Raw genomic sequence first — 24452 nt, forward strand, 5'->3', positions numbered from 1 at the left:
CCACACAGCCCGTATCTTGACCACCCCCAGCTCCGCCCTCTCTCCTCCCACCTCCTTTTCCCGCTCCCCCGCCCCATTTCCTTCTTCTCCGCCCACCTCCTCCTGGGTCCCTCCCCCGGCCATCCGCCCTGCCCCGGCCCCTGCAACCCTGCCTTTCGCTCTTCTTCCTCCTCCCTTCCGTCTGCGCCCCTCCCGTGGGGCCGTGGCAACCCCGTGCCTCGCTTGCCCAATGAGAACACGGTTTGGGGCGGGGCGCGGCCAGGACCGGAGCGGAAGTGGCGATCGGAGCGGAAGTGGAGCTACCGCCACCGCCGCCGCCGATTCCGGAGCCGGGGTAGTCGCCGCCGCCGCCGCCGCTGCAGCCACTGCAGGCACCGCTGCCGCCGCCTGAGTAGTGGGCTTAGGAAGGAAGAGGTCATCTCGCTCGGAGCTTCGCTCGGAAGGGTCTTTGTTCCCTGCAGCCCTCCCACGGTGAGTGCGGCGCGGGGTCCGACCGGGGCCCCCGGGGGCCCAAACTCGAAGCCCCTCTCTGGCTGCTGCGACGACGGCGGCCCAGTGGGTGGGCCCCGTGGGGTAGCGGCGCGCTGCCTCTTTCGCTCCGCGCGGCCGCCGGCGGCGAGGCCAGACCTCGCAGCGGCCCCTCCCTGTTTCCGGGGCCGGGCCCTTTACCTCTTGGAGAGGCTCGGGCCGCCTGAGGTCCTGCCGGCCGGGCGGGGTGCAACTCCGTACTGTGCCGTAAGGGACAGCGGAGCCGGGGATCCCGGACCCTCCCTCACTATCTGCTTCGGGCCCCACGCGACCCCTCCCTGCGTCTTGGTCGGCAAGAACGTCCCCTTCAGCCCTGTCACCTCTGCTCCGTGCTTTCTGGTTTCCAGAAATTAAAATTTAATCAAACGCGGATGAGTTTTCTAGCCCCAGTCCCCGTGTTTGGCTCCTCCTGGATGAGTAAGGGGTTTAACCTTGGGAGACAGCAGTGGGGGAACCCCCTCCCATTTTGCAGTAAAACCATTTCATCATCCTTCACTGGTTATGGAGCCTGGCAGGACCCAAGATTCCCTAGGAAGGGAATTGGGTTTGAATCAAGAAAATCTGTTTGTTGGAGCCGGTTACTGAGTCAGGCCGGATCCCCAGGAAAAAATATCAGGGGGTGAGAATCGGAGTATTTTCTCACAGTATTTACCGTCATTTAATGCCAGATTCTTTTGTGTCTTTACCCCAAATTCCCCCATATTGTGTGTTAGCACGTTTTTCGGTCTGAAATTTGCCCGGTGGCTTCCTGGTCGGGGGGTGGGGAGCGGAGGGAAGAAGAGGTGGGAAGGTGAGTGCATCTTTGCCGCAAATGGAGAACTCCCATATAATGGGGTTTTCAGAGGTGGCAGCCTTGGTAAGCAATTTGCCAACCTTTCTGTAAAATACATGTTTCTTGTCGTTGCCTTCATTGCATTTCTCTTTGGTAAGGCTAGATAGCATCAGGTCCTGATTTTGCTTGCCCTGTGTGGGAGATGGAATTTGGCAAGATGATGCTATGAACATAAAATCAGCCTCGGGAACCAAAAGAGAAAGGTGAAGCACTTATAAGAATATGAAAATTGTCTGCATTTCTCATTCTGTCAGTTCATGTGAAGCCAGACACAGATGCAGTTTGTAGACCTGGACACTGCAGCTTTTGCATTTTCATTTGGAAATGTGTATAAGTATTTGTTCTTGGTGAATTTCTTCTTGACTGCTTCCAGTGTACCCTATTTCTTACTTAGGGATATCTCATTTGTTTGAGCCCTCATTTTTCTTGGATCCCTGTCCTTGGCAACACACGGTGTGTGAGTGTAAAACCTGTCAATCTTATTGGACCTAAGTTAGAAATTTAAGTGTGGCTTTCAAAATGGAAGGCTAATAATCCTGTAGCAACTGCAGAATTATTTTCCTGGCCTGTCCTTCCAATGAGATAAGAAACCATTCACCTATCTTGCAGATGAAGTCTTTATGAGAAATGAGGTGATTTGGCCTAGACTATACACCTAGTTTTTTTCAAACTGAATATCCTCATTCATCAGTAGCAAATATTTATGGATTGCCAGCCCCTGGAGTATGACGCCTACCCTGTAATCTTTTGTACATTTCACATCTTGCAGTGCTTGTTATATTGAAGCCATTTTAGAATTGGAGCGCTATAGATCAGGGAGGCAGCCTCTATAAAACCAGGCTGAGCAAATTCCCATGATGCTGGTTCTCTAGGCAGAGTCTCCAGAGATTTGGGCCGCTACAAAAAGTGCATTTTGCCCATTCGGCTGTGGATAGAGAAGCAGGAAGAGCACTGGACTTGGAGTCAGGTAAATTTGGTTGAAATCTTGCCTGCAATATTTTCTAGCTTTCTGAATCTTCAGCATGTTAATCTCTGGTTCTTGGTTTTCTTATTTCCAGGGTTATCATTAAGCCTTTTTTATAAACTGTAAATTGTTAAATATAAGCTTTTGGTTTGTTTTTTAATCAGAGTTCACTATTAATGGCTTTTTCTCTCCAGTTAACATCTGATGACACTAAACCCTGCTTTGTACACATGTTGCTTTCAAAAAATGGTATATTATTATAGGACTTTATTTTGCATATAGGCAAATCCAGTCTTTCTGAATCATTTTCTCGTCTATATAGCACAAATGGTAATGCAGCTTTTGATATATTTTTGTTGCGACAAGCTCAATAATGAAAATAAGCATCTGGGATATAGTTGGGGTTCAATAGATGTTATTGACCATCTGCATGAATATACACGTGTATAGATTAGACATAGCATATATGCTATTCATGGACATTTATATAGAATCCATCCATTTGTGATTTATTCACCAACTGATGAGGTGGTATCAGACAATTAGTCTATAATAATAGTTACCACTTACAGTACTTACTGTGTGCTAAGCTTTCTTTTAAGCACTTTAAGCATATTAGCTCAGTCTTCATAACAACCAATGAAAGGTAAGACTGTTAGCCCCATTTTACAGATGGGGAAACTAAGGCACTGAGAAGGATAATTTTCCCGAGGTCTCACACACAGCGCAAGGTAAGTGCCAGAACCAGGAATGAAACCAGGTGATCTGGTTCTGAGGAATGATATTATAGATTTCTGCATGTGGTAGAGACAGCACATGTATATGTTTTATGTGAACACCATTTAGTCCTTAATTTTTCTTTACACCAATCCTAATAAAGTAAACGTTTGAATGGGAATATTAGCTATTTTTGAAGATAGATACAGGACAATTTATTGTGGAGCATATACCCATTCTGGCCTGTAGGGATGATAATTGCTAGCATGCATCAGGAAGCAAGCTTGTGAACAATCCAGTTTTTCTAGTACTTGCTTCATACTAGGGAGAAAGTCATCAGTTACTTTGGCATAGAATTTTAGGTTCTTCATCTAATAGAATTTGATTGTGACCATTAATTTTTGTTTATCTTACGACTTCATCAGTAGATGTTCAGATTTTTCTCATTTTGTTGGCAGGGAGGAAATGAGGAAATATATCTACGTAAATAGAGAGAAACTTCTAAATTAAAACATCCTGTTGTGCTACCTGCTCTTTCGGTGTCAACAAACTGAGTTTTCCTTTAAATGCTGGTACCTTAGAGAATGAACTAAAATTTCCTTGTAGAGATACTTTTAAGTTCCTTGTTTCTACATTTTTCTAGGGAAAGATGACAATTCACTAGTTAAGGGGCAAGAAATTATGGTTACATAATAGCAACCTTTAAGCTTTAGAATCCTTTTGATCTCTATGTGAATATGATCTTAGCAGTCATCTGTATTGCATGATGGAGAAACTAACGGTTGGAGCTGGATTCTGAGGGAATTTTTCTAAGGGGAATACTTGAGGAAACAGACTAAAAGTGCTTTCTGTCTCATGATATGTGTGCTGAAGGCCAATCATCTTACTGCTTTCTCAACTAAAAGATTTTCTAATAGAGGTGTGGTTATATGTATCTGATACTTGTAATGAGATGTAAATGATCAGTGGCCTCAAGTCATTCCTAGCAGATTGTAGGTTAGTTAACTTTTTTTTTTTTTTTAAATTCTGGCCAGTTCTTTATTATGTAAGTTTTTCCCGTACTGGTTAGTTTATTTTATTGTTTTCCCTAAAAGAACCAACAGGAGGTTATTTCTGAATGGCCTTGACCAGGACAAGAAGATTGAAGGCTACAATAAAGTAGATATGAGTCCTGTCTATTATTATTATTTGCCCTCAGCTAAGAGCTTTCCTTTAAAATTTGTTTGACATTTTGGTAAGTCTTTGGCATGTTTTTATGCTGTTTTTAACTCCTTGATTTTGTTTTTATTTTTAAAGCTAGATAACATTAGCTTAATAGGCCAGTTTTAAAATTTCACTGTAACAACCTTGTATAGTTCTTTTAAAAGTTGACAATTCTCTCTTTTCCTTAAGTGAGCATTGGAGTTCATAATTGATCTTTAGGAGATAGGGTTACATAAAGGAAAGAGCATTAATTTTAAAATTAATGTTGGTTTAGATCCCAGATCTGCCATATATAGCTGTGTGACCCTGAATGAGTTAACTCTTTGCATTTATAAAACGGGACAATGTCACCTGCCTCATAGGATACTTAGGATCAAATGCGTTTCTAGGAATCCCTGAGTGCTTTGCAGGCCATAAATGATGGATGGATATTTTTGTTATTTACTAAACGAGTTAGCTGGTTTGGGTTTCTGTATAGTGAACTTTTTGTATAGCGAACTGATTGGACTTCTGAATGGAGGAGATGGACAGAAAGTAATCCAAAGGCTTGTTGAAAGTCAGTTTGAATCTATAAATACAATGATTGGTAGCTGAAAAATATTAGTCAAAATGTATAGTGTTGCTCCTGATGAGAGCTGGCTGGCTTTTTTCAAAAAGTAGTCTAAGACAATAAAAACAGTCTGTATTTTATAGGTCAGATGTGTGCTACCTTCCTCTGTCCACGTAGGAAATAATTGCTTTTTCACTTTTTAAGAATGCATCAGTTGATCAAGCAGTCACTCAGTGTGCTAGGCCTTGTACTCCACATTGGGTGTCCAAAGATACAAGTCTGGATTCCTACTTTTTTTTTTTTTTTTTTTTTTTTTTGTGAGATGGAGTCTCACTCTGTCACCCAGGCTGGAGTGCAGTGGCACGATCTTGGCTCACTGCAACCTCTGAAGCCCGGGTTCAAGCAATTCTCCTGCCTCAGCCTCCTGAGTAGCTGGGATTACAGGCGCCTGCCACTGCGCCCAGCTAATTTTTGTATTTTTAGTAGAGACAGGGTTTCGCCATCTTGGCCAGGCTGGTCTTGAACTCCTGACCTTGCGATCCACCTGCCTCGGCCTCCCAAAGTGCTGGGATTACAGGCGTGAGCCACCACGCCTGGCTGGATTCCTACTTTAAGCTCACAATCCGGTGTGGGAGCCAGCAGAGACACTTGCATTGCAGTAAACTGTGATAAGGGCCATTTTAGAAATAAGCATAGGGAAATTGTTATGTGCCTTTCTTTTAAAAGTCTTTAAAGAAAGCAGAGTACGTGTAAAATAAATGAGGTACATAGTAAGTTTCCCTTCACTGGCTGACCATTGGTTTTTTAAGTTTTGTGTGGAATGTACTGTGGTTGCCATTTATTTGAGTGCTTACTGTTTTATATCATAAACAGGTTTACTCCTTACAGGAACCCTAGTAAGTAGATTTGCCTATGTTTTTTTTTTTCTTCACAGAGTCTTGCTCTGTCGCCTAGGCTGGAGTGCAGTGGCGTGATCTCAGCTCACTGCAGCCTCTGCCTTCAGGCTGCCTCAGCCTCCCAATTAGCTGGGATTACAGGCGCCTGCCACTATACCCGGCTAATTTTTTTATATATTTAGTAGAGACGGGGTTTCACCATGTTGGCCAGGCTGGTCTTGAACTCCTGACCTCAAGTGATCACCCTCCTCGGCCTCCCAGAGTGCTGGGATTACAGGCGTGAGCCACCACGCCCAGCCCAGATTTGCCTGTATTATGGATGAGAAAACAAATTCACAGAGGTCACATAGCCTGTGGACTTGGTGTGCGGTACTGGTAAATCAGACTGATAGGCTTCATTATGTCAGTGGGCCCCAAACTGTAGAAATTATTCATAAGGTCAACCAATTGGGCTGTCTTTATGGATCAGAATTAACATAGTGTCTTTTGGATTGATTACTTAAGCCAAGAAGTCAATTTATTGTCATATCTACCATTAAGTCACATGTGTAACCTTGCGCCTGTCACTTAACACCCTCAGTAAGTTTAATCATGGCTAATTGGACATAATTAGCAATGATATGCAACAGCTGATGTGAAAGAGGGAAGGGATTTTGAAATAATAGAAATGCAGTTTCTCTCCAAATTCAGTGTTCACTGGACTTAGTGCTAATGACTTTGTATTACAGATATGCTGTGTTTTGTTTCCTAACAAAGAACCTGCAAATGTTTGAATGGAATTAAATTTATTACAGGACTCTAAATTTTATATGTAGAATGGCACACAGACAGTTTTATAGTGGGTGTTTTTTAGTGAGTAGTTTTCTCTGAGAGCCAGGAGTGTTTAACTTTTTCTGGGTAACACCCACTAACCACCTGGTCCCACTGACTTTCTCAGTCCCTTCTGCAGTAGCTTGGCATCTGATTTTTCTTCAGCAGAGAGACTCCAGAACTAAAACTTCTGCTGTACAGTGCTGTGGATGCTCTATCTGGAATGGTACATCTGTGAATGCTGTTCAGAATATGTGATCAGTTCCTTACCCCATTGAAACATTCGAGCCTAGATTTTTCAGATTTTCTTGTCAGTTTTCTTCCTTATTCTCATTTCTTTATCTGCTTTGGCCTTTGATTTTTATCTCATCTAGAAAAACATACATGCACTTTATTAATAACATCTCTTTTTAAGTCACGACCTAGCTACCTTTAAACCTATTTCCTCTAGTTCTGTCTGGTTGGCTTTCTAAGGAGAGGCATTGTAACCCTTAAACGTGTGCTGTTTTTTTTTTTAATTGATGTGTAATAGATATACATGTGCTCTTTTCTTGTGTTTCTACCACTAGAGTTTAAGCTCTCTGAGGGGAGGACTACACTGCTTTCTTTTAAATTCCTCTCAATGAATAATCCAAAGAGTTCTTAGAAATTTGGTAGTTTTTCATTTTGTTAGTTATTTCAACACACATTGGATTATATGTGTTACATTTTTGTGAGGTAGCTTAAGAATAAAAAATAAGAATGGCTTATGAGCCTTTACTCTAACCAGCACTATATGGGCATTTTATGTTCATTATCTTATTTGATAGCTATTAATGTCTCTTTTTAACACTGAGAAAACAGATTCAGGTAAGTTATAATGTGGAAATGTAGAAAAATCACCTACTTTCTCTTTAGAAGCTCAGATGTGTATGTAAGGCTTGCTAAAAGCAGACCCCACCGTATATTTTATATGTATAGAGCTTGGGTAATTCCTGACATATAATAATGGAGTCTTCATCTGAAATTTCTAACAAATTATTAAATTCAAAGCTTATTATTTTCGAATCGAGCATGTTCTTTGCCTTGAAAACAAAACATAGCTGAAAGCCAGTGCTTCTAAAGGCCACAGCTGTCATTTTCAACCCTTTCTGTCTTTGCACTGCCTTTATTTAAAAAAAAATGGATTAGCAGTAGGTAGTCTTCTTTTTCTTTTCTTTCTTTCTTTTTTGATTCTTCTCCTAGGATATCTGCTCTAGCCACTGGGAAATAACTTCTCAGTATTTTGACCCTGACTAGAAAGATGTCCCTTGGGGAAGGAATTGGGATAGAGGGGCTAGGCTGTTTCCTAGATCCTCTATTTTCAGCATTTATTATCTGATTTAGGATTTTGTTTCTTTGAAGAAAATCCTATTTTGTGAGTACCTTTAGAATTATTTTTCATAGCTGTTTATCTGCACTAGTGGTTTCTCTTTAAACAGAAAAACACTTTTTTTCTTAAAAAAAGAAATAGTACCCAATTTTTAAAAAAGTAATACATACTTGAAGAAAATTTAAAAAGATAGGAAAATGAGGATATAATAATGTTATTACCCAGAGACAGAACCAGTGTTAACCATTTGGTGTAACCTTTCTGTTCGGGTTTGTTTGTTCTTTAGGGGATATTTTACAGAAATAAAATATTGTGCAGCCTCGTCCCTCCAGCCCCCATTGCTCTTAAATAAATCTTTTCATGACATTAAATCTCTTCTTTTGATGGCCACGTAATCTTGTACCATCTATCTCCTTCCCTCCCCTGCCTTTTTTTTTTTTTTTTTTTTTGAGACGGAGTTTCGCTCTTGTCGCCCAGGCTGGAGTGTAGTGGCGCAGTTTCGGCTCACTGCAACCTCCACCTCCTGGGTTCAAGTGATTATCCTGCCTCAGCCTCCCGAGTAGCTGGGATTACAGTCATACACCACCCCGGCTAATTTTTTTGTATTTTTAGTAGAAACGGGGTTTCACCACATTGGCCACGCTGGTCTCGAACTCCTGACTTCAGGTGATCTGCCTGCCTTGGCCTCCCAAAGTGCTGGGATTACACACGTAAGCCAGTGCACCTGGCCAGTCTCCTTATTTTTTAAACCATTCCCATATTGTTGGATATTTAGATTTGCTTCCATTTTTTCACTAAGCAATCTCTGCGTTTATCAACAAATGCTTCCCAGTCCTGACTTGCTGCATCCAGTGGCTTAGAACAGATTGACAGCCATCATCATCATATAGGTGTGCTGGAGAGCTCCTGTTCTCAAGCACGTCAGTCTCTTCCTGAAATATGCCCAGCACAAGGAAAATCTCTTGGCTTACTGCAGGGTTGGGCCTTTTGTGGCCTCTAATGAGTTTGCCTGCGCCAGTATCTTGATGCTTCTGCAGTGGTGCCAGGCCTGACGATGAGACTATAGTCTTTCAAAAACTTTTTAGGAGACAAATAAAGAGTATCTTGCTGACTTTTTTTTTAGTGGGAACCTCATTCAAAGTCTTGGAACAACAGTAGGTCTTGATTAAAAACCATCATGGCATATCACTAGAAAATTCAATTAGAAACTAATGGATAAACTTCAGTTACATTTAACATATATGTCCATTTTAACATAACATACTAACTATCTGTACAAGATTAATCTAGACTTTTGCTTTTCCTTCTCACAAAATTGTATATTTAAAAAGAAAATTCAAGCTTATGGTTTTATGGGCTGCTACAGTGTAATAGTCGTGGAGAAGAATAATAGTACTTCAGTTTGATTTTGCACTATGCATTTTTCAAGGAAGATTTCCACATTTAGTATTCTTTAATTCCCTGCGCCTCATCTTCACAGCAACTCTACTGAGGTAGATGCCATCTTCATTTTATGGATTGGAAGGCTGAGATTTAACATGCTCACATGGCTGTATAGTGGCACATTGCGCTGTGACACACAGTCCTGCTGCCTTCCGACTATACTACATATAGGTACTCTGTGTTCCTTGTGCTCTCCCAATAATGATTTGTAGAAAAACTTGATATTCATTTGCATATGAGTTTTGTGCTTAGCACAGTTATAAGCATTAAATGTGAAACAAACATGAAGCTTTCCTTTGAGGGCACACACGTGAAGCTGTAAGTGGTACAGTACTCATCTGTATCACAGAATGGCATAAAGAAGTCCTAGACCATGTAATAGGCTATAAGTATATTCAGAGTCATAGGCAAGGTAAATCAGTGAGGGCTAGGGCAGTCAGGGAAGGGTTTGTAGCCCTAGAAGAATGGGTGGAGTTCAGATAGGCAGGCAGTAAATAGGAGAGCACTCTAGATGAAGGGAACTACAAAAGCAGTTTCAGACACGTTTGAGCATTGTGTTTATAGGGCATGTGGTGCTGGCCAGCCTGAGAGAAAGGTACATGTTGGAGAACAGTGGATGAGAAAGCCAAACAAGTAAAGAGGAGACAATTTATCAGGAATTTGAAAGCCAGGTAGAGCTTAAATTTGATGGAGTAGCCAAAAGGGAGTCATTGGAAGTTACTGAGTAAGGACAAAGGCAAGACTAGAGGTAATTTAGGAAGAGTAATTTTTTGTTTGTTTTGAGACAGGGTGTCTGTCACCCAGGCTGGAGTGCAGTGATGCAGTCATGGCTCAGTGCATCCCTGGCCTCCTAGCCTCAAGCGATTCTCCCATCTCAGCCTCCCAAGTAGCTGGGACCACAGGCATGAGCCACCACACCTGGCTAATATTTTATTTTTTGTAGAGACAAGGTCTTACTATGTTGCCCAGGCTGGTCTTGAACTCCTGGTCTCAAGCGATGCTCCAGCTTTGGCCTCCAAAAGCACTGGGATTATAGATTGATCTGCCATGCCTGACTGGAAGAGTGAATTACTCTTTGAATTTCAGAGGGCACAGAAATTCAAGAAACTAGGTACAAATGTAATGAAGATTTAATATGCTTGTGAGGCTAATAGGTGCTTTGAATTATTTGAGAAAAGGGAGAACTCTACCAACTCTGCAGTTTTATGCTTACATTTCAGGATCAGTTTGTTCATTCAGCAGATATTTGTTCCTACCAATTATGTACAGGATGCTGTGGGAGATATGTCCAAAGGAGCTTATGGTGTAGGAAGGGAAATAGGAGACACTATGTAAGTAATTTTAGTACTGAAGAAACGTGGTAAGACATTGACAGGTATCAGCGAAATGCTTTGTGAGAATATATTCATTAGAGCAATGCCGTCCCATAGGAATAGAATATAAGCCACATGTAATTTAAATTTTTCTGGTAGCTGCATTTAAAAATTTTTTTAAAGTGAAATTGATTCTATCTGTTTTTACTTAACCCATTATGAACAAAATATGATTTCAATATGTGGCACTAGCCACATTTTAAGTGAATAGCCACATGTAGCTATGGCTATGGCTTAAACAGCTTAAGAAAGGCTTCATGGAAGGGATGGTATCTGAGCCACACTGTGAAGAATCTTGTATGCAGAGTAAATTTGGGAAAAGCCATTCCAGGTAGAGGGAGTGGCTTGGTGAGCAAAGATAGAAAAGCATACTTTGTATGTAAGAAAACCATTTTGGCAGAAGCACATATGATGTGGAAGGCATGATGTGGGGGTCTGGAAGATAGGTTGGCAAGCTTTCACTGATAGGGGAGGAAATCTGACTCTGCTTTTGGCATCAGGGAACTTTAAAGAATTTTGAGCGGGAAGTGACTTGAGCAGAGTTATAGGAAAATGGGTCTTACAGCAAAGGCATGGAGGGGGCTGTAGATAATGAGTGACTGAAAGCATTGCCACTAGGGCAAGATTTTGGATGGGAGATTTATTGTAGATGTAGAAATAGGAACAATTTCATTTCTCCTTTGCTGCCTTCCTCCAAACTGCTGGGTGTTGTGTAACCCATTTCCTGTTGAAATTGGTCTAGTTGCTTCAAAATCCATGTTATATAAGTCAAAAGTTATGTAAGCAGTAGCCATCAGGACCTTTAGCTATGGATTTTGTTTGTTGTAAGTTGTTTCTGTATGTGTATAATTAAAAATATTTGAAACAGATAAATGGATACAGATTTTAAAAAGGTGTGCATTCAGTCCTTATCTTGCCATGATGGTTCTCAATCTCTAAGAAATCTTGCAGTAATCTCGGAGAAGCTTAAAATAGCTGACCCCAAACAGAAAGGGTGCATTTTATTTTGGGAAATAGGGAAGGCATATTTGGGAGGTCCCACTGAATAGTCCAGATTCTTTGGAGTAGTATGATTTAACTTTTAATCCTTGAGAAGGAGAGAAGTAAAAGGGGGATAGCTTAATTTTGGGGCCTAGTAGAGCTGAAGAGGTTGATGGCATTATTTAGCAACGGCAATCCTTTATTACTCCATTATGATACCACATGGGATGGCTTAGCTCTGAATTGGCTTTTGGCCAGTACTTTATGATTTGGAGTAATCCACAGGTAGAGTTGCATAGGTACTGTTCTATGAACTTTGAAGTGGGCCTCTAAGTGACTTCTAACTTTGAGTTAGTCTACAGACTGGAAATTTTCTGAAGGTTGTTGGGTCATTGAAAGTTGGCTTCTTTCTGGTGTACCTGGCACTTTTAGAAACCATGAAGTAGGGTTATTTAATGATGAAGATATTTATTGTCCTGATCTCAAAGACCTTATGGTCAAGAAAGTTAGATATATGAAGACAGTGGTCATCCTTTGGTATCCAGGGGGTGTAGGTTCCAGGACACCTGGGGATACCAAAATCTGAAGATACTTGTTTATTTTGTGTTTTTTTCCTTCTTTATTTTCCACCACGGTTGGTTGAATCTGTGTATCTGGAACCTGCAGATATGGAGGGCCAACTATATATACTTTTAAGATGGTAGAGTATTTTTGATGTACTTGTATTAGAGTAGAACAGGTTGTCTTGTGGTAACCAACAGCTCCAGCATCTCAATGTTTTAACCCAGCAAAAGTTTCTTTTGTTTTCACCCTGCGTGTCCAATGCAGGTCTGCAGGAGTCTTGCACTATACAGTCACCCGGGGACTCAGGCTGACAAAAACTCTACAGTTGCATGACTGTACCACCTAGAATACATGGCCTTCTCAGTGGCTGCTGTGAGGGAAAAGAGCCTGGGGAGGCACACGTAGGATATTCACAGTGTTAGCCTGGAAGTAGCGTCATTTCTACTTATCTTTCATTGGACAGAACTACCATGTGGCCTCTTCTGACTGCTGTGGGGGTTCTGGGAAATAGAAGGGAACAAATGGAATGTTTCTTGAGGATTACTCTCTCTGCCTTAGTTTTATTCTAGTGTTGTGAGTGAAGATGTCAGATGGATCAAAGTGAGACTTGCCTCACTGAGTGTAAGCTTACAATTAGTGAGCCTTATATAAGACACAGCTCTGCATGTGATTTAGATAATAAGCAGTAGGAAGAAAAATTATAGTTATGAACTGGAGAATCAATTCTTTCTGAATCACCTAGATTTTGAGTGTATCTTATTGTGCTCCCTAAAACATTTTTAGGTGATAAGGCCCTGTGTGTAGAATTTCTCTCTTGAAAATACAGAAATGACTTTTGAGGCAAAATCATTTTGTGAGTGGAGGTCATACTTTCTTGTTTTTTTTTTCCTTTTTTTTTTGAGATGGAATCTTGCTCTGTTGCCCAGGCCAGAGTGCAGTGGCGCGATCTCTGCTCACTGCAACCTCCGTCTTCCGGGTTCAAGCGATTCTCTTGCTCAGCCTCCCCAGTAGCTGGGACTATAGGCACGTGCACTGTGCCCAGCTAATTTTTTGTTTTTTTAGTAGAGACGGGGTTTCACCGTGTTAGCCAGGATGGTCTCGATCTCCTGACCTCGTGATTCACCTGCCTCGGCCTCCCAAAGTGCTGGGATTACAGGCATGAGCCACTGCGCCCAGCAGAAAATGGTTAATTTAAAAATAGCAAAGAGGCCAAGTGCGGTGGCTCACACCTGTAATTCCAGCACTTTGGGAGGCCGAGGCAGGCAGATCACCTGAGGTCAGGCGTTCAAGACCAGCCTGAGCAATGTAGTGAAACCCCACCTCTACTAAAAATACAAAATCAGCCGAGTGTGGTGGTGCATGCCAGCAGTCCCAGCTACTCGGGTGGCTGAGGAGAATCGCTTGAACCCAGGAGGCAGAGGTTGCAGTGAGCCGAGGTTGCGTCACTGAACTCCAGCCTGGGTGACAGAATGAGACTCCGTCTCCAAACAAATAATCATTTTCAGAGCCTTAAATTGTGATACCATGTATGTAGTAATGAAAGAATTTGTTTTGAAAATACTGGCATTGGCTAGGTGCAGTGGGTCACGCCTGTAAGTCCCAGCACTTTGGGAGGCCAAGGCGGGCAGATCACCTGAGTTTAGGAGTTCAAGACCAGCCTGGCCAAAAATGGCAAAATCCCATCTCTACTAAAAATACAAAAGTTAGCTGTGCATGGTGGCACGTGCCTGTAATCCCAGCTACCTGGGAGGCTAAGGCAGGAGAATCACTTGAACCCTGGAGGTGGAGGTTGCAGTGAACCGAGATCCCACCACTGTACTTCAGCCTGGGTGACAGAGTGAGACTCTGTCTCAAACAAACAGACAAAGCACACAAAAAAACCTGACATTACTACTACTGTTTAAAGTAGCATTTCATGTTTTTATAGCTCAGGATATTAGTGTATTTTTATACTGTGTGGCACAGATTGATATATCAATATTTAAACCAACAGTACATAAAATTAACTCTTCTTGTTTAGTAAATAACTTTTCAATTATTTTATCCAAAAATTACTTATTAAAATTACCGCACTCTGTAAATGGTGATTATTGCAGTGGGGAACTGACTGTGGTGAGTTGATAAGAGATATTCACTGATTGGCATATGGATTTGATAAATTGATAAACTGAAGTCACTAGGATTTTTGTCTATTTCAGAAAAACTTTAAATGAACTCAGTTATGGTTCAGATGAATTCAGTTATGGTTTCAAGTTATGTTGCTGTACATCTTGTTATACACCCCTTTCTCTTGCAACCTATACCATATACAAAATTAGTGCCTGATATTTTTATATAATGCTTTATACTTTTTAAGGTGCCTTCACATGTATCAGGTCTTTTGTTCCTCATAACAGGCCCACTAAAAGAGTTGGTAGTGTTCTTTCTTTTTTTTTTTAGAGACAGGGGTCTCAGTTGGTTGCCCAGGCTGGAATGTAATGGCACAGTCACGGCTCACTGCATCCTGGAACTCTGGGCTCAAGTGATCCTCCCACCTCAGCCTCCTGAGTAGCTGGGACTACAGGTGCACACCACCACACCCAGCCAATTTTTTCTTCTTTTGTAGAGATGAAGTCTTACTATGTTAGAGACTGATTTGCCAGGATAATCTTGAACTCTTGGGATCCTAGGCGTGAGTCACCACATCCAGCCCTGGGTAGTGTTCTTATTGCCCAGTAGAGACCGAAGCTCTCAGGTTAAGTGATTTAACCAAGGTCATGCCACTTGTAAGTAAGTAGCAGAGCTAGTGCTAGATAGAGCCCAAGTCTGACTGCCCTTAGTTTATGTTCTTCCTGTGCAGTGTGTCCTAGTAACAAAGTTAGCAGATTACAGAAGATGTGATATAATCTTTCCCATCCTTCAGTTATCTACTGCTTGATGGGTGCAGCCAAATAGATCATTTAAAATCATATCTTTTGCTTCAGGATTGGTTGAAACAAACATCATACTTACTCTTTCCTGTACTATGGAAAAAACAGGTTTAGTCAAAACCAGAGTTGCTTACAGGACAGTGAAGAGAGGACTTCCTGTATTACAGGATACAGTTGGATTAAGGTCATTAAAACAAACCAGACAATTACTGAGAGAAGTCAAGGACATATATATAGTAAGCATAAACTTTTTTTTTGAGATGGAGTCTCACTCTGTTGCCCACGCTGGAGTCCAGTGGCGTGATCTCGGCCCACTGCAACCTCTGCCTTTTGGTTTCAAGCGATCCTCCTGCCTCAGCCTCCCCAGTAGCTGGGATTACAAATGCCTGCCACCACGCCTGGCTAATTTTTGTATTTTTAGTAGAGATGGGGTTTCACTGTGTTGGTCAGGCTGGTCTCGAACTCCTGACCTCGTGAATTGCCCTCCTCGGCCTCCCAGAGTGCTGGGATTACAGGTGTGAGCCACTGCACCCGGCTAGTAAGCATAAACTTCTAAAGAAATAGTTATTAAGCAGTCTGTATGTGCCAGGCAGGTGAATTAGGCTAATGGAAGAAAACAAAAGCTCTAGAGCCAGATAGATGTGAGCTGGAGTTCTGGCTCTCCACCATCTATTTGCATGTTGCTCTGGGCATATCACTTGCCTTCCCTGACCCTCCATTTCTTCACCCATAAGAAGGGGAAAGTTGTTGTTATGAACATACCTACTCTGGGACTGTTGGGAAGATTACTGGACCAAAATAATATAAAGGCCTTAGCAAAGTACTTAACCCTAGAGGTGTTTGATATATCATCAATATTGTTGATGGCATTTGGAATGAGATGTTTCACATTTAGTATGCTGCTTTCCAGATGGGTTGGAAGAAGATTCACACACGTTTCCTAGGCCCCGAAACCTGACATTTGCTCTTTCTTTTTCTCTTGCTCTTGTTCTAGGGAATGACAATGGATAAAAGTGAGCTGGTACAGAAAGCCAAACTCGCTGAGCAGGCTGAGCGATATGATGATATGGCTGCAGCCATGAAGGCAGTCACAGAACAGGGGCATGAACTCTCCAACGAAGAGAGAAATCTGCTCTCTGTTGCCTACAAGAATGTGGTAGGCGCCCGCCGCTCTTCCTGGCGTGTCATCTCCAGCATTGAGCAGAAAACAGAGAGGAATGAGAAGAAGCAGCAGATGGGCAAAGAGTACCGTGAGAAGATAGAGGCAGAACTGCAGGACATCTGCAATGATGTTCTGGTAAGAGGCCAGTGCTTCTGTTTTGAACAGTGGTTTCTAAATAGTATTAATTTAATGTATAAATGCAGACTCTCAAAACAGCTTATGAGAGAGAGGTGTCTGAATATACTGGAAAGCTGCCAGGTATTTACAACTAATTTTTAAGCATATGATATAATTTGTGTCACCTATTGCCTGATCAGAGGTTGTACATCACTTCTGAGATACTTTCCTCTCCTATCAAAAAGACCTGTGAAAAACAGTGACATTTTTTCAGCCTCCCTCCATCTTTTAAAATTGAGGCCAGATAGACAGGATTTTAATAGATACAGCTACAGATAGGCTATTGTGTATATTAGTCAGAGTAGTGATGTCATCGCCAGTAGGGGAGGGAGATGAAAAAGCTGAGCTGCCTTTCAGCCTCTCCCCAGTCATGCCTTCACACTGTAAAGTCCTGCTTTGGTCTGAAAGTTAGGCACATCCATCAAGTTCGGCATGCATTCCAGAGCCAAATTCAAAGTGTTTTGGGCATTCTCCTCTCCTGTATTTTACATAAACCCTTAGTCAGATGATTGATTCCCTCTGGCCGCCACTTGGGATTGAATGGGAGGGGTACGTACTCCAAAACAAATCATAATCATATTGTCTTTCCCGCACATCCTGAGCCATTGGGAACTTTCTTTTTCTTCCAGGTGAAATCAGGTAAAAATGAACTCAGCGAGGGCTGCTTTGAAGGGAAAAGGAATTCACACTTGGGGACCTACCACCTTCCCTGCTGGCTGCCTTTCTAAATTACTGCCCATGACTCCTTTCTTTTGAAAACCAGTATAAAGCTTGTCAGCCATCAGGCAGCACCCCTTATCCCTAACCTATTAGGAGTTACACACTGTCTGTCTACAAAGAATATTAAAACGACTGCCGCCCCCTGCATCTTCTCACTTTGGTTGATTAAATCCCCTTATAACTAAGCTTTGCATTGAGCTTCTCTTTTTATTAGACTCATGGCGTAAGAGTGTCATGACTAAATTTGTTGCCTGTTGGTAATTTGGGGGTTTGTTAATGGTGCACTAATTCCTGAATGTTAGGTACATCTGGTATTCAGATGAAGTATGTCATGCATTCCAAGGGCAAGAAAGTTCCATAATTCATGAAATGTAGACCAACTTTTAAGAGCATCTGAAAGAATGTGAAGAAGAGCTTGGTACTTACTGCCTCTTAACCAGTTTTTCAGGATGCCACATTCTAAAACAACTCTTCGAAAATATTGCTCTGTATACGAAGCTTGGACTCCTTCAGAACTACTTTTGTTGTAAGCATAAATGTTTAAAGGAATTTATTATTAATAGTATTAGCTACTCTTTGAGTGCTTACTACGTGCCAGGCAACGTGTTAAGCGCTTTATGTATGTCAACTTATTTATCATTATAACTACCCTAGAAGATGGCTATACCCTAGAAGATGACCCTTCGTATAGCTGAGGAAAGTGAGGCTCAAAGTGATTAGGTAATTTGTCCAGAGTCATACAGATAATAAGTGGCAGAAGAGGGATTTCTACCCAGGTCAGATTGACTTTAAACTTAGTTCTTGGCAGTTTTGCTCTATTATCACCTTTTTCCTCCTAAGGAAAGATATTTTTTCCCCTTTAATTATAGAAGTAATACCAGTTTGTGGGTTTAAAAATGGTGGGGGGAACAAGTCAGAAGAATATAAATAAGAAAGTAAAAATCACTTCTAATCTTACCACCCAGAGAACCATTATTAACATACTCCTTCCAGGCTTTTCCCTTATATATTTGTGAGCATGTACACAAATGTATCTTAATGTTAAAATAGGATTCTTGTGGTATTTATAATCTGCTTTTTTTCCACTCAGATTTCTTTTGAGAGCCTTTCCATTATCTGTTTAGCTCTGCATCATTTTAAAGGCCTACAAAACATTTCATTATATGGCTATACTTTAATTATCCCCTATGGATGGTCAAAGTGATTTTTAACAGAAGAATACAGGCATCTGCTGTTATGACCTGGGCTAAACAACATTTAGTAGCTTGGATGAAAAATTGGTGTTTTTTTAATCTTCCAAAAAATTATTTAGAAGCAGTAGTGTATATCTTGAATCTCAAACATAGTTTTAACATCTCGTGAATAATTCTAAATTCTTAACAATGTTCATTTTTTAGGAGCTGTTGGACAAATATCTTATTCCCAATGCTACACAACCAGAAAGTAAGGTGTTCTACTTGAAAATGAAAGGAGATTATTTTAGGTATCTTTCTGAAGTGGCATCTGGAGACAACAAACAAAGTAAGTAATATCTTTAAAAAGAAATTCGACCAGTAATGGAGCCAGTCTTCTTTCACAGGGACTTTTTAACGATTTTTGCTTTGTTCGCCATAGACACCAATGTCACAGTACTAAGAATTTAAAAGACCACAGCATTGTGACGAACGGGGTCATGGGCGGGCAAATAAAAATTTATCTGACAGGGAAGTATGGAGGGCATTACAAACCTGGTGCGCAGTGTATTTAAAAAGATCTTATCTTGAGTATTATTTGTTAGCTCTCTTTTTAGCAGTGAACTTTTTATACTTGGTGGTACGAAACTACCCTAGTGATGCATTGCATTTATCACATGTATTACCGTGATGGTGGTAATCTTAACCACACTTTATTAAGTGCTTCTGTGCCAAGTACTTCCGAGTCTCACTTACTCTTCACACAGCCTTACGAGTTAGGTGGCAGGCTGCCCATTTTTCATATAAACTGAGGTTTATGGAGGTTTCTACTTGCCCCAAGCCACAGACCTAGGGAGTAAGAGTTGGGAATTAAAGTTTGGATCTATCGACTCTAAAGCCTGTGATGTTTGCACTAGAATGTATGGTTTTTCACATTCTATATTGTTAAAGGTTATAGCTGTATTTAACTGCTTTAGTAGACTTTGTCATAATTGTTTTCCCCCAAAGCATTTAATATACAACTTGGTTTAGAATAAATATCTAACAAATGTATAATTGAATGGCAGAGACACTGACACTTCATTTGATAGGTCATTGCTCCTGCCCAGTTTGGGACTGAGAAAATAATTTGATAGTTGGTCCAATGTGTGATACCTATGAAAGAACCGAGCCTTTAATATTTTCATCTTTATGTTACAGCCACTGTGTCGAACTCCCAGCAGGCTTACCAGGAAGCATTTGAAATTAGTAAGAAAGAAATGCAGCCTACACACCCAATTCGTCTTGGTCTGGCACTAAATTTCTCAGTCTTTTACTATGAGATTCTAAACTCTCCTGAAAAGGCCTGTAGCCTGGCAAAAACGGTGAGAAAGACCCTTTGTGATATCTAACCATAGCAAAACAGTGCTTGTGTTATTAACTTCATTTTATTCCTGAACATACTCATTGTCTTGGACTTTTTTTGAAAGATTTTCTGGGGGTGGGAGTGTATCTTTTATGAGATAAATACAGATCTGTTACTTTTTTAATTCATTCTCAATACCTTCTGCTGACTTTGTTTGATTACTGTTTTTTGCGGGTGGTTGTAGAAAGTTCCAGGTGAATGTAGTTAGTTGTTTCTTACCAAGCTTTGGGCCTTGGTTATACATTGTCATTCTCATGCCAAGATTTGAGGTTATAGTTGTATAAAAGAAATACACAGCACATTCTTGTTGTGTGTTGGATTACCTTCCATATTCTTCCTTTGGCCTTCTCTACATATTTTTTATAGTCCCTCAACATGCACACAACTTTTTAAAAACATTTTTATTCGGGAAAGGTGCCTTAAAGTTCCGTCACTTAAATCAGATTTAGTGATGTGAGTTTCCAGACATTTTGAGTTTTAGTTTAAATAAATAAATAATTTTAAATAGAAGATTGCTAGAAAAGTCTTTGGTAATTAAAAAATCACACGCGTTTGCCCAGAATGACTGTGCTAGGGTTAGCAGTAATACTGCTTAGTTATTAGGTACAGCAAAGTTCTTACCTTGGAGTTTCTGTCATTGTTGGTTGGTGCTTTGTAAATATGCCTTATACTTCTGCTGGAAACAGCTAACAGACAGGGTAATAATAGCCTAGGTTCCCCCAAAGTACTGTACAAGAAGATAAGTTATATTCACCTAGCGGGAAAAAAAGTGGGCTAAACTAGCTCCAGAGAACTTGTGAATTCTTTGCTAAAGGCTCTTTGTTTTAGGCATTTGATGAAGCAATTGCTGAATTGGATACGCTGAATGAAGAGTCTTATAAAGACAGCACTCTGATCATGCAGTTACTTAGGGACAATCTCACTGTAAGTACTACTTCCACAGGGTTTATAGTCTCTTTCCTATTCACCTACTTAATAATTCACTGTTATCTTCAAGAGGGGATTTGTACCATTAAATGTAGTTACAGTTTTAAGTTGTTAAATTTGTTATAAATGACTGCTGAAGTTTTGACCTTTGCAATCATCCCTGTCTGCAGTGACACAGGAATAATTTTAAACTGTCGAGTGAGATAAGATTATACATACTGGGCCACTTACCTAGGGAACTTTTAGTAGCCCTGCTTTGATTATACTTCCTTTCTCTTGCAGCTGTGGACATCGGAAAACCAGGGAGACGAAGGAGACGCTGGGGAGGGAGAGAACTAATGTTTCTCGTGCTTTGTGATCTGTTCAGTGTCACTCTGTACCCTCAACATATATCCCTTGTGCGATAAAAAAAAAAAAAAAAAAAAAAAGAGAATCGTACGTCGACTTTCGATTTTTCACAGCCTCAGCCTAGGAAAAATGGTTCATGGGATAAACAGCTGGTATTTGTATCTAAAACTCAGATTGGTCACATAAATGCCACGGCATTCCGAAGTTTTGATTTTGATTAACATTGACAGGATTACTGTGTGTTTAATTTTTTAAAAACTGAACACTGTGATTATGGGGTTTTGTAATTTAGCAGAACTCTTACTGGTAGAAAAAATAGACCTGAATTATGTGTAACTTTTTGGAAGGTTTAATCTGATATCAAAATAATCATTGAAATACAATTCCATTGTAAAGTTGTACAGAAAGTTATAGAGATTATATTGTGATGCTGGAACTTGGAGTGAGACACACATCATTTGGCATTTGAGTTGAATGGTAATTCACAGTAATGCTGCCGTTGTTCGGGACTTAAAGACACTTGACCTGTTTGGGCTGTTGCCACTTAAAAGTTCATGACCACAAATGTCCACAGTGTCTTCCTCTGAGGAAACTCGAATCCTGAAATGGAAATTCTTTGTGGCAGATAACTGGCTTATGACACCTTGAAAAGTTCAAGTGCTCATATAACACACCACACTGAACCCCCTTTCCTACAGCAATATGTTCACTATGTTACCAATTTGCAACTTGTGCTTCAATAGTGGAATCTACTTTCATTGTTAACACTGAGCTAAAGAAAAAAAGCCGTGTGTTTTATGAATGACCTTATCTGTTTCCTGGATAATACCTTTAAGAATAATGTCCTGAGTCAGGCGTGGTGGTGCGTGCATCTAGTCCCAACTATTTGGGAGGCTGAGGCAGGAGGATCGCTTGAGCCCAGGAGTTTAAAGCTGCAGTGCCCTGTGGTTGCACCTGTGAATAACTGCACTCCAGCCTGGGCAACATAGCGAGACCTCATCTCCAAAAAAGAAAACAAAAAACAAAAAAAGGAATGATGTTCTGTAGAGATGGCCTTTCACTTGAGGAGTACTCAGTTTTCAGGTTCTTCCTAGCTCGGGGCTTTTAAATTTTGAAATCTAAACATTCTTTCCCACCATCCTTTTTGACTGTTGACCTTGGTTTTCTCTTCTAAGTTTCTGTCCCTCTGCTTCCTTACTTTTTTTCCTTTTTGAATTCTATCTTTATCTGTCTTTTGTTCACTTTTTAATGCTATATATGGGCAGGGGTGAGAGACATTACTGAGCACCTTGGTGAGCAAGCCTGGCTTTAAAGATTGGAGAAGAGCTTCTGGCACCAGAACCCTGTCTTCCTCCAGTTCTCAACACGGTGTTGCTCTTCAGTCATACCGGAATCTGAATCAAAAAAGTATTTTTAAATATCCATGATTTCTCCCTGTATTGAGGCTAGCCCTGATCATGCTTTTTGTGCCTGTCACCAGGTCTCCCAAGTGCACTCATCCAGGTCAGTGCTCAGATGTGTTTAAGGAGACCCTATATTCAGGGAAGTTGCGTGAACACTGCAGTGGGGAGAATTGAGAATAGTCAGGCCTATCAGTCTCACAGAATCACCCCTCTACCTTTGATATTCCACTTAGCTGTAGAGTCCATCTGTTTGTCCATCTGCTGAAATGAGAAAAGAAAAATTTATGCACTGATTTAAAACAAACCAAAAAAAAAGAAAAAAACAAAAAAAAAAATCCCTCCTTTCTAGCTGAACAAAAATGTGCAGTTAATACTTGGCGCTTGAAAATGCAGTAGTGAATGTGGAACCAAGCCTGTCTGTATATCTGGTAGCTCTTTTCTTGCTTTGTTTTTTCTTACCAGTATTCTGCCTAACGTTTGCTTCTGTGATGGTTATATTGCCTAGCAAGCACACCCGTGGTTGTGAAAATAGTATAGCAAAAAAGAAAAATCCCCGGTTATTGATGTACTAGATTTGTGTATGTCTTTTAAACAGTTCTAGTTTCACCTTACACAGAATAATCAGGAAAAGTGTAAAAATTCAAAAGTGAAATAAAAATTTTATCAGTTAGTTGCCTGTGAATTGATGTGTCACCACCATCTCTGTTGTTACCAGACCTAGCTAACTATTCTGATCACACTTATTTTTAACTCTGTTTTCTTTAAAAATAGGCAAACAGTTTTATTTCATTATTTAGGACCAGAAGTCAAGGTGTTATCCAGGGGAAGAAATTACCATTAATTAAACAGCCTCTTTACACCCGTTACTTGATACCTCTCTACCTTCCACAACAAACCATGCAGGTATTAGGTCCTCTTTAGTGACTTCTAAGATTTGGTATGGACAGTTATTTTGCATTGTATTCGAGCCCACCATCCCTTCCCCATTTTTTAACTCTGAGATACAACCAAGCCAGTGAAATAGGTAACCTATGGTTGCATAAGTCTTGGTCATCACCAAGCTGGCGTCTCACCTGTCCTCACACTGTATGGTGGCCTGCAGAGCTGGTTCCTCACAGGATTTGCCCCTTCTGAAAACATCCACATTACCACAAGGAGAGAAAAATATCAGGATAGAGGGGTCTTTTTTAGCCCAAGATTAGAATTAGTGCTTCCTTGCTACTCTGAGGCTGGACAGCCAGATGGGCACCTTCTGTCCCTAGTTTAGGAGCTGTTCCACCTGTTGAAGCCACACTCAACCAAAAGTCAGTGGGGGCCTACCTGCTCTGTTGGATCAGTGAGACCAGGAAAGTCCTATCAGAGGAAAAGTGAAGTATTGGTGCTCAGTGGAGTAGTTGTTTTGTTTTTGTGTTGTTTTTAATGTCCCTATACCACAGATTGACGCTGCAAGCTCAGATTCACAGTCTTGCTCTGTTTAGGTCTTGCTCTGCTATTAGTTCCCAATTGTCCGCATTTAGGCTGAGCCACAAGTAACTCAGTGAACCTCCCTGGTGTAATGGATGTGTAATGGCTTAGCAGAGGGACAGGGAATATCCCAGGAAAAGGGGTCTTGGTAATATGAGCCAGTACCAAGAAAGGCCTTAGTGGTCTCCAGTTCTCATGTCTCAAAGCCATTTCCATCCTTGGTGCGAAACGGTGGGACTGGATCAGGCTCTCTGGAGGAAGACATCTTCAATGGAGCAGGGTAAAATTCTCTACACAAGCTTTGAAACAGTGGCCTGTTCGGAATTCCGTTTGTGTGTGAAACGCAAAAAGCGCGGTTTGGGTCTCCTTTCATTCTTGTCAGGAGGGAATCATTCCCATTTTACAGAGAAGGGAAACGGGTTCAGAAAGATGATCATCTGTTCCGGGGTTAGAACTCAGTCCCCTGCGTCCTTTCCGTCCCAGTCCTCGGCTCTTTCAAAAGAGCTGGGGGTTTTGAGAGCTCCACTCAAGTCCCAGCAGCCCTGCTCAAGGC

At 41.0% G+C, this 24452-nt stretch overlaps 1 protein-coding gene across 3 annotated transcripts, besides 2 other annotated features; it reads left to right on the forward strand.

Annotated features, from left to right (window-relative positions):
• Positions 20 to 636: an enhancer, noted in NCBI's record as "H3K27ac hESC enhancer chr20:43514076-43514692 (GRCh37/hg19 assembly coordinates)". NCBI's record gives its function as "activates a minimal SCP1, AML or CMV promoter by ChIP-STARR-seq in primed H9 embryonic stem cells {active_cell/tissue: H9 hESC(primed)}" and the evidence as "EXISTENCE:reporter gene assay evidence [ECO:0000049][PMID:30033119]".
• Positions 34 to 583: a silencer, noted in NCBI's record as "silent region_12949". NCBI's record gives its function as "represses an Ori minimal core promoter by ATAC-STARR-seq in GM12878 lymphoblastoid cells {active_cell/tissue: GM12878}" and the evidence as "EXISTENCE:reporter gene assay evidence [ECO:0000049][PMID:35858748]".
• YWHAB (tyrosine 3-monooxygenase/tryptophan 5-monooxygenase activation protein beta) lies at positions 290 to 23117 on the forward strand. Of its 3 annotated transcripts, NM_003404.5 has the most exons (7): positions 290 to 471; positions 2233 to 2327; positions 16116 to 16418; positions 18578 to 18701; positions 19553 to 19716; positions 20586 to 20681; positions 20967 to 23117. In NM_003404.5, exons 3-7 carry the CDS (start codon positions 16119 to 16121, stop codon positions 21021 to 21023), a joined length of 741 nt encoding a protein of 246 aa, NP_003395.1. In that variant the 5' UTR covers positions 290 to 471; positions 2233 to 2327; positions 16116 to 16118; the 3' UTR covers positions 21024 to 23117. The 3 variants fall into 3 exon arrangements, with proteins under 3 accessions (NP_003395.1, NP_647539.1, XP_016883529.1); NM_139323.4 differs by lacking the exon at positions 2233 to 2327; XM_017028040.2 differs by lacking the exons at positions 2233 to 2327; positions 19553 to 19716; positions 20586 to 20681; positions 20967 to 23117 and having other exon boundaries at positions 17483 to 18644.

This window comes from Homo sapiens, chromosome 20, assembly GCF_000001405.40.
Source record: "Homo sapiens chromosome 20, GRCh38.p14 Primary Assembly".
Taxonomy (NCBI): domain Eukaryota; kingdom Metazoa; phylum Chordata; class Mammalia; order Primates; family Hominidae; genus Homo; species Homo sapiens.